The 8,812-nt window shown below is 36.8% G+C and overlaps 1 protein-coding gene across 2 annotated transcripts in view; it reads left to right on the top strand.

Annotated features, from left to right (window-relative positions):
- UNC5C (unc-5 netrin receptor C) overlaps positions 1-8,812 on the top strand; it is a 386,470-nt gene that overhangs the window by 149,328 nt on the left and 228,330 nt on the right. The gene's annotated exons all lie outside the window — the stretch shown is intronic.

The following is an 8,812-nucleotide window of genomic DNA, read 5'->3' as shown; positions in this document are numbered from 1 at the left end:
GTGAACACAAGAGCAAAGGCCCTGAGGCAGGAACAATTAGGTCTTTCGGAGAAAATGGAAAAATACCAGTGTAAATAGAGAATATGCCCTGTGGATAGATAAAAGTGGGGAGATAGGAAGGGGATTCAGGCCATCATGAGGATTTTACATTTATCCTAACTGCATGGGAATCCATTGAAGAGTTTTATGCAAGGGACTGACATAATCCAATTTGAAAATCACTAAAGGAGAAACAATCTTTTGCATTTTTAAAAATCCTCATTAACTTGAAAGGGTTCTTGCCTCTTGTATGTAGTGTGATGCTTTTTTGTGGAGTTGTTGACAGTATTTCCCAGGTAGTCTCTAGGGAAGACACTGCCGAAATTAAAGTAATTGGTATTTAATCATGTCTTAGTTAACATTTTTAGAATACTGCTTTTAGCATGATACTTCTTCCTATGTCATTTTTTTGTCCTTTTTAAAACTAGTGATTGCATTTTTATTTTAGGGACTTAAAAACATTGCAGGTGGCATACTTCTGTTCATATTTGTTATCCCAATTTTGTCTAAGGCATTAGGAAGACCTATGTGATATAAATAGCAAGTTTAAAGTAAACTGACCTTATTTTTGATGATTTCAGTAGAGAATTAAAGAGACTAGATTCTACAGTTTTCCTGTATTATTCAGAGAATTCATGGAGTAAAATATTTCAAATTTCCTCTCCAGTAAGAAACAATACTTTTTTTCTGTGATTTTTATCTAATTAGCTCTAAAGCAGCATTTATATCCAAAAGCTCTCTACAGCAACTCCATTCCCATGTAGAATTCACTGTAGGCAGAAAAAGGACACACTGTTGAAGTTTTTTGCTACCAATTAAAAAGCAAAATAGCAAAAACCATCCCACTGAGAAGGCACAGACTAAACCTTATCTCATTAAGACTAAGTCTACATGCTTTATTTACTTGTGGTTGAGAATCAATGCCCTATTGTCTTCTAGACATACATAATTTGCAACAGAAACAAGAAACAGGAGATACATCTTCATTGCTTTGTCTAACCTAGTAATTAAAATGAGGGTTTTTATTTTCAAATGGACAGTATTAGCAAGTCAACAATGGCTTAGAATGATACAAACACTACATGGAGAATTATCTGCTACAGTAGAACTTTCCTTATTACCTTGTGCTTAGCAAATACACAATTGTTGAATGAATGAATGAATGAATGAATGAGTGAATGAAGTTAGATTAGTGCATTGCATCTGTTATCTCACTAGTTTGGTAGACAGTTTGCAGAATCTGTCCACCAAAGTTGGGGAGCACTGGGGTCAGGATCAAGGGATGATGGTTTCTTGGTTTCAACTTTGGTAAAATGAAAAGTAGACTCAATTATTCAGCAATAGAGGATACCTTTCCATAATATTCTGGGAAGATATAATAGTTTGTTCTACTACCCAAGTAGTTTTGATGAATCAGGTAAGTGGTTTGGATGATAAGCATGGAATCCTGTGTTTTCATTTGCATGTGTTTAATGATATAAATTTTCTTCCTGTACTTTGGGAGCAAGGATGTATGTTATCCACTGTAGCATTTTACATAAGCAAAAAAAAAAAAAAAAAAAGCTACATTTGGCTACTTCTCATTGGGAAATTGTGTCCCAAGGGTGCAATAAATATGCCAATTTTATGCAACAGATGTAGGACTGGACACATTGAATTATGAAGATGGGGCAGAATGCAGACAATTAATAATGCTACTGCTCTAAAATATAGATGAGTTTTAAAGAAATGTTTTGATAGTTGTCTTGATGTTGTATAATAAGATGATTTCTACTCTTTGCTTTGCACAGTTAATTTAAATGTTCTTTGTTCTGTAAAGTCTATGTCAAATAGTCTGAAGGGCAATCAAAACTTAGATGCTATTTTTTCAGTATACGGACATTTGTCCAAAGGATTGAATTTTAAGGATGGTATTGGCCACATCATGTACGTTCATGTCCTATGTATTGAGTGACACAAATATGCAAAACATATAAAAAGAGTTATGTAAGTTTCTATTTGCAATTTATCCTGTTCAATGTGCTTTTTCTACTTTGGAAGAATATATTTAGGATGTACGTAAAAAATTAATTATTAGTGTAATATTTAATGGGAAATTAGGAGAGCTATAAAGACACCAGGTTCTTTGTCTAGGGGAGAATTAACTAAATCCTTTAGATGCCTGAGTGTTTTCTTACTAACTTTTCTTTAATGTTACTATTTAAAACTCCTTGGTAGAATGGGATTAGCCAAATATCAAATGTGAATTATCACATCCATATTTGTTTAGTTGAAAATACAAGGGTGGTGCAGATTTAAATGCACCAGTTTATTAACCTTGGAGTTTGTTAGACATTTTTGTTTTGTGTAAAGCACTTATATTTTTCAGAAACATTTTTGTTTTGTGTAAAGCACTTACATTTTTCAGAAACATGAGTGGAACTTCTGTTACGTTCTTTAAGAAATTCCTTTTAATTCCCACTTGTCAAAAGGCTGCATTTCCCTGCTGTAGACTCTTCCTTTGGCACCCAGACAATACACACAAGACTGCCCACCCTTCCTTTTTTCCCTGCCCCTTCTCTGGCACTCAGCCTCCTGGCTTCCTCGACCCTGAATGCATCAAACCCATGACTCTGCCATAGAGCCTAGCACATGAGAGGGGCTTCGTAAATGTTGATATGCTTAAGCTTTTTGGGCTTTGATTCCCCTACCTGTAAACTTGGTATAATGACAGTACCTACTTCATAAAGCATTCATGAAGATTAAATAAGCTAAATGCAAACTAAATTAGTTCAGTTGTTAACATAGGGTCACAATCAGGGATAATGGTTTCTTGGTTGCAACTTTGTTAAAATGAAAAGTAGATTCAGTAATTCAGTAATGGGAGTTTTTATGGGCTTAGAATGGGGAAATGCATGCTGATGGGTCCACGGGTGGGCTTGGAAAAGCACCATTCGATTGGGTGAAAGGCATCATTCAGAAGGAACCAGTCGAGAGAGGGTAAGACAGGGATAGAAGTTTTCACTCCAGTGGTGGACTCCATCTGGAACTGCCAGCTCGGTTTTCAGGCTTTAAACTGTCCTTTGGCTTGAAGGTCGGGTTCAAGCCATCCCTGTCTGCCTAGAAATTTGTCTGTCTCCTGCTGCTATCATCATCATCAACATCATCATCATCATTGCCTTTAGATAAAATTAAATACTCATTACAAGTAGAGATATTTCCCTGAGAAAAGAAAATGTATATCATTTCTCTCCTCTTCTTATCTCACAGACTTAGTAAATTTTCCAAGGACCCTTGAATCATGTCTCTAACACCTTTGCTTTAAAGTGAAAAGCAGGAAATCCAGGGGGTTGGAATATCTTACCCAAGATGATAGAGCTAATTAATGAGCAACATATCCTGAATTCATGTGTTCTGATATCTATGGGTCAGCACATGTTTTCTACACAGCAGAATCTCTCTCTTCCCCTGTAGCTTCTGAAGTTGCTAAAGACAAACCCTCCTATTAATATCCTCTGGGTTTATTCTAGGTTGAAACCTTTGCCCTCGTTATTGGTTATCTGTTAATGATAGCCTGCCGGATGGTTCCTAAGGCTCTTACTGCAAAGGCTGATACATAGAAACATAGAAGTTTCCTTATGATGAAGCCAGAGAAGCTGTGCTGCTCTGAAAGCTGCCCATCTGTGTACTCCAACTCTATGAGACCCAGAGACAGGCCAACAGGCCAGTCTTCATGGGCTTGTGGCTTGAAGGCTACTGGACCTTAGAAGGGCCCCATGCTTGGTCTAATGCTCTGCTGTGGCTATCTTAAAATTCTTAATGTTCTTTGAATGAAATTCCACATTGTCATGTTTCTCTCTGCCCTACAGCTTTTTTGGCCTGTCTGCTGAAGAAATAGTGGATCTTTGTGATAAATCCCTGGGCACTCAGGGAACTACTGTTGTATGGGAGAAACTGCTATGCTTTTAATAACAAAAGTCAGGACTAGAAACTCCCCCGATTAGTAATATAGATGAAAACTTTATTTTCATTAGAGCAGCATATATTTTTTCTAACAGGACTTTTTAACTTTGATATGACAGAGGAAGAGAAAAGACCTGCTCTCAGGCAGCTATACCCTTAGTGTCTGGGAGGAGGACACTAAGAGAACTCTATAGATTTAACCTGGACAAATTCCTCTCAAGCACTATTTAAAGGGACTTTGTTCTAATTTTTTAAAAAATAAAGAACATAATTTGACATATAAGAATAAAGTTAATAATGCTTTGATAAAACCTGTGCAAAAGGAAAATAGCTTTATTGAGACATTCACCAGCATTTTGACCATACAACTAGACTAATGGCTTTGTTGAAAAGTAAGGTAGTAAATTCAAAATCACAGAAGTACATTCCCAAAAAGCAAATAACTTTGCATCCGATTAGCATTTTATTCTAGACAACTGGAGGAGCTCAAACTAATACTATCCATAATATGGGCCCACCTTTATACACTGGTATTGAGAGAGGCTTGGCAAAATGACATGCCCACCATGGAGAGCTCCACCATATCATTTCCCTCCTGGGCAGACAGGAGGGCTGAAGAAGCAGACTGGTGAGAAATGGGCAGCTCACTCTGAATCTTTGCCCTTTGAGTTAATTCTAGTTGACCTACTTGAGCAATGATTGAGGAATTTTTGATTCAGTTTGCCCTGATCTATCCCCTGGTGAGCATGGGCTTGTTATTTTTTAATGAAACTATTTTCACAGCCTGTTGTTTTTGGTGTCAGAGATAGAGGAGAGTGAAGTTATTTTTTTTTTTATTCTTATTCCATTTTTTTCATCAATCCTAGTGCCGCTTATGCTGCTGAATTGCATTTTACTGGTGTCTTGCAGCAAAGCATACTTTCTAGCAAACAATGCAAGAACACTAACAAAGGATAAAAATAATACCAGGCAATGACCAATGAGAAAAGCACACACACACACACACACACACAGCAAATACCTTTTCATAGCAGATGCCAGAATTGTAATTATATAATTTTGTCACCTTTCTTGCTTTATGTAACAATATCTGTTGGGAAGTACTTGTCACGAAATTGAATATTTCTCACCCAATTCATATCTTATCTCTTAAAATCAATGTAAAAGTACTCCTTTATATTTTTTGTTGGTAAAGTGAACTCTGTTTAGTTACTCCAGTTTTCGCCCTTTGGCAGTTAGGGTGGGTAAAAGTCGATCCCTGTTCTCCCAAGAGGAGTTTTCCAATTAGATGCACTTTATTTCTAGAATAAGGAGGATCTGACTACACAGTTAGCACCCCCCATTCGTGAGATTTCATCACCTCCTTTCAAAACTTGCGTTAGTGGGATTGGAGGGTTTTTTTTTTTTGTAAATTACTATTAAAGTTTCAGAAGTGGATAGAAATCTGTTATTTAGAAAGCAGCTGGGTACAGAAGTCAAGCTGAGCTAACTTTTAAAATAAATCAAATGGAGAAGCAATACTGCAGAAAAGAGTAGATTTATTTCACAGTATGAGCTTTAGTACATTAAAAGCACAACTAAAGGCAATGCACTAACAATAGTCAGTACAGATTTGCAGATAAGATGTCCTTAGCTACCCAGCCATACATCTTCATTTGTTTTTCCATTTCTTAATAAAACGATCAGAGAATAGGTTTACAAAACTGAGTGTCATTATCATGACTTTAATCTTGTTTAAATTCAAAACTGTCCTCTAGGCTTTGTGTCTAAAGGAGAGATTTATAGCAATCTGTTTTTTTTTAAAAAAAAAAAAACAGTAGATTGTATAAGAATTACTATTTGGATTCTATATTTCTAAAGAAAGCAACTCTGTAATTTTTGGAACAGCTCACTGTAATAAAACATCAGTAGGCTTTTAATTTCAAATGAATAAGCGATCACGGGAAGAATGTATCAGCACACTGAATATTCTCTAAAGCTGGTAAAATAACACTCATATCTGTAATTCAGGGTCAAGATGGATAATTGGACCATAGAAATAACATCTACAGTCAATACTTAGACACAACAAAAAATTAAATATTTGGAAATGTCAATGGTATTCAGTGGAACTTCCTAATCAAGTCCTGAGTGCCAAGTGGAATTACTCTAACTTAGAAAATACTTCAGGAGCAGCTTAAAATATAGAAAATGTCCAGTGGGCTTATCACACATAGTATGTGTGTCATAATCATCTCCAAGTGACAGCCTTTTGCCTCTTTACTTGATATTCCCCCCTTGATTCCTCCAACAGTGTTCCACCATCAACTAGTATGACTGGGTCACGAAAGTTCCATCTTGGAAAATTCAAATTACTTACATTCACTCAACACTTTGTGTTTAATCCCTTGACTTTAAAATAATAACTCCTAATATCTTAGGGAGGAGGAAGTGACATTACAGTCAACAGTCATGGCTTTTAGATTCCTTCTGAACCATCTAAGTCCTCCATCTGCCCTACTCCCACCTTGCATTTTATCATGAAGTGACACATAGCAGAAGAGCAGTATAATAAAGTTAAGCCAGTGACTTACTACTTTCCCCAAGGGTAGAAATCCCCTCTGTTTCTTTTCTCTTTTGTTTCCAGGTTAAAGGGTGCATTTGCAGACATCTAATACCATGCATGCTGATCTGAAGGAATTTCCCTGGGGGAATGTGAGATGTATATGTCTTTTTTATAGTCTTATGGGAGACTTTTACTTTTAGATAATCACAGGTAAATCAATATGGTTTTAGTCCCTCTGAACCAATAATATATGTTTACTGAATTGGATTATAAAACATATTATAAATTAAAATTATCTTATTTTCTTTCTTAAGATGCTTTTTAATACTTTGTAGTGATAAGATTTCTGTAGTGGAATAGTCTATCGAAAAAGCGTTTCAGCCAGGCTCCGTGGCTCATACCTGTAATCCCACCACTTTAGGAGGCCGAGGAGGGAGGATCACTTGAAGTTAGCAGTTCGAGACCAGCCTGAGCAACAAAATGAGACTCTCTCATCTCTAAAAAAAAAAGTTTTAAAAACTTATCTGGGCCTGGTGGTGCATGCCTGTAGTCCCAGCTACTTGAGAGGCTGAGGCAGGAGTTTCGCTTGAGTCCAGAAGTTCAAGGCTGCAGTGAGCTATGATCCTGTGCATTGCACTCTGGCCCAGGTGACAGAGTGAAACCTGTTTTTTTTTTAAAAAAAAAAAAAATGTTTTGATACTTCAAACTCTTAAAAATTCCTTTGTTAAGTATATAAATTATGCCCAAAATTTGTGCCATTTTAAAACTGAGTAAGCATTTTAACTAGAATACTTTATCTTAGCCTAAAAATGTTATCTGTTATATAATTATTTTCTATTGACTCACAGAAGATGCTAGAAATAACTATATAATTACTCAATAATGAGCTAAGTTTCTAGGGAGTGAAGGGAGTTATCCTTGCTTAAAAATTGGGTAATTTTTTAAACTTACCCAGTTTTTAAGGTTAGCTTTTCTAGGGCTTAAAGATACATTTCTGTAAAAAATACTCATTTGTTTTTCAACCTACATTAAAAGAATATTATGATTACCTCTTTTTTATTTTGAGATGGAGTCTCACTCTGTCACCCAGGCTGGAGTGCAATGGCACGAACACAGCTCACTGCAGCCTCGACGTCTGGGGCTCAAGTGATCCTCCCACCTCAGTCTTCAGAGTAGCTGGGACGACAGGGGTGTGCCAGGGGTCAGCTAGAGCTGGGGTTTCTCTACATGGCCCAGGCTGGTCTCAAACTCATGGTCTCAAGTGATCCACCTCTCTCAGCCTCCCAAAGTGCTGGGATTACAGGTGTGAGCCACAGTGCTTTGGCCTCTCTTTAAAAGTGCCTTTTTTTTTTTTTTTTTTTTACCATGAAAGGACAAAGCTCACTTTATATTTTGTAGAGCATGGTATTTGAACAAAGTTAAGGGATTGGTCATCATTAAAATAGTTATGACACTGTCTACTAAATCATTTGTATCTATATTTAATACATCAATACAGAGTTATAGAAGTTCACATATAAAATGTGGTATTGACAGTGGAAGAAAAGGAAAGAATACAAGATATATTGGAAAGAAATGACAGATATCTGATTTTCTAGCTCATCTCTTATAAATGATTTAATACATGAAAATTATTCAGCATAATTTCTGTGATTGTCAGAAAATGACAATCAGTATAATATACTGAAAAATGATTTAGATTAGTTGTAGTCCTAGGCTCTTCACTTTCTAAAAATGTGTCAGTTTATCCCAGCACATTAGGAGGCAGAGGCAGAAGGATCACTTGAGTTCAGGAGTCGGAGACCAGCCTGGGCAACATAGTGAGACTTGGTCCCTACAAAAATTAAAAATAAGTTAGCTGGGTTCTATTAGTCCATTTTCATACTGCTATGAAGAAATACCTGAGACTGGGTAATTCATAAAGAAGAAAAGGTTTAATGGACTCACAGTTCCACATGACTGGGGAGGCCTCACAATCATGGCAGAAGGTGAAGAAGGAGCAAAGACACATCTTGCATGGCAACAGGCAGGAGAGCGTGTGCAGGGGAACTCCTATTTATAAAACCATCAGATCTCCTGAGACTTATTCACTATCCTAAAACAGCACAGGAAAAATCCACCTTCATGATTCAATTAACTCCCACCTGGTCCCTCCCACAACATGTGGGGATTATGGGAGCTACAATTTAAGATGAGATTTGAGTGGGGACACAGCCAAATCATCTCACTGGGCATGGTGGTGTCTCAAGCCTGTAGTCCTAGCTACTCTGGAGGCTGAGATGGGAG

This window comes from Homo sapiens, chromosome 4 (genome assembly GCF_000001405.40).
Source record: "Homo sapiens chromosome 4, GRCh38.p14 Primary Assembly".
Taxonomy (NCBI): Eukaryota; Metazoa; Chordata; class Mammalia; order Primates; family Hominidae; genus Homo; species Homo sapiens.
This window is presented reverse-complemented; position numbering and strand designations above follow the sequence as displayed.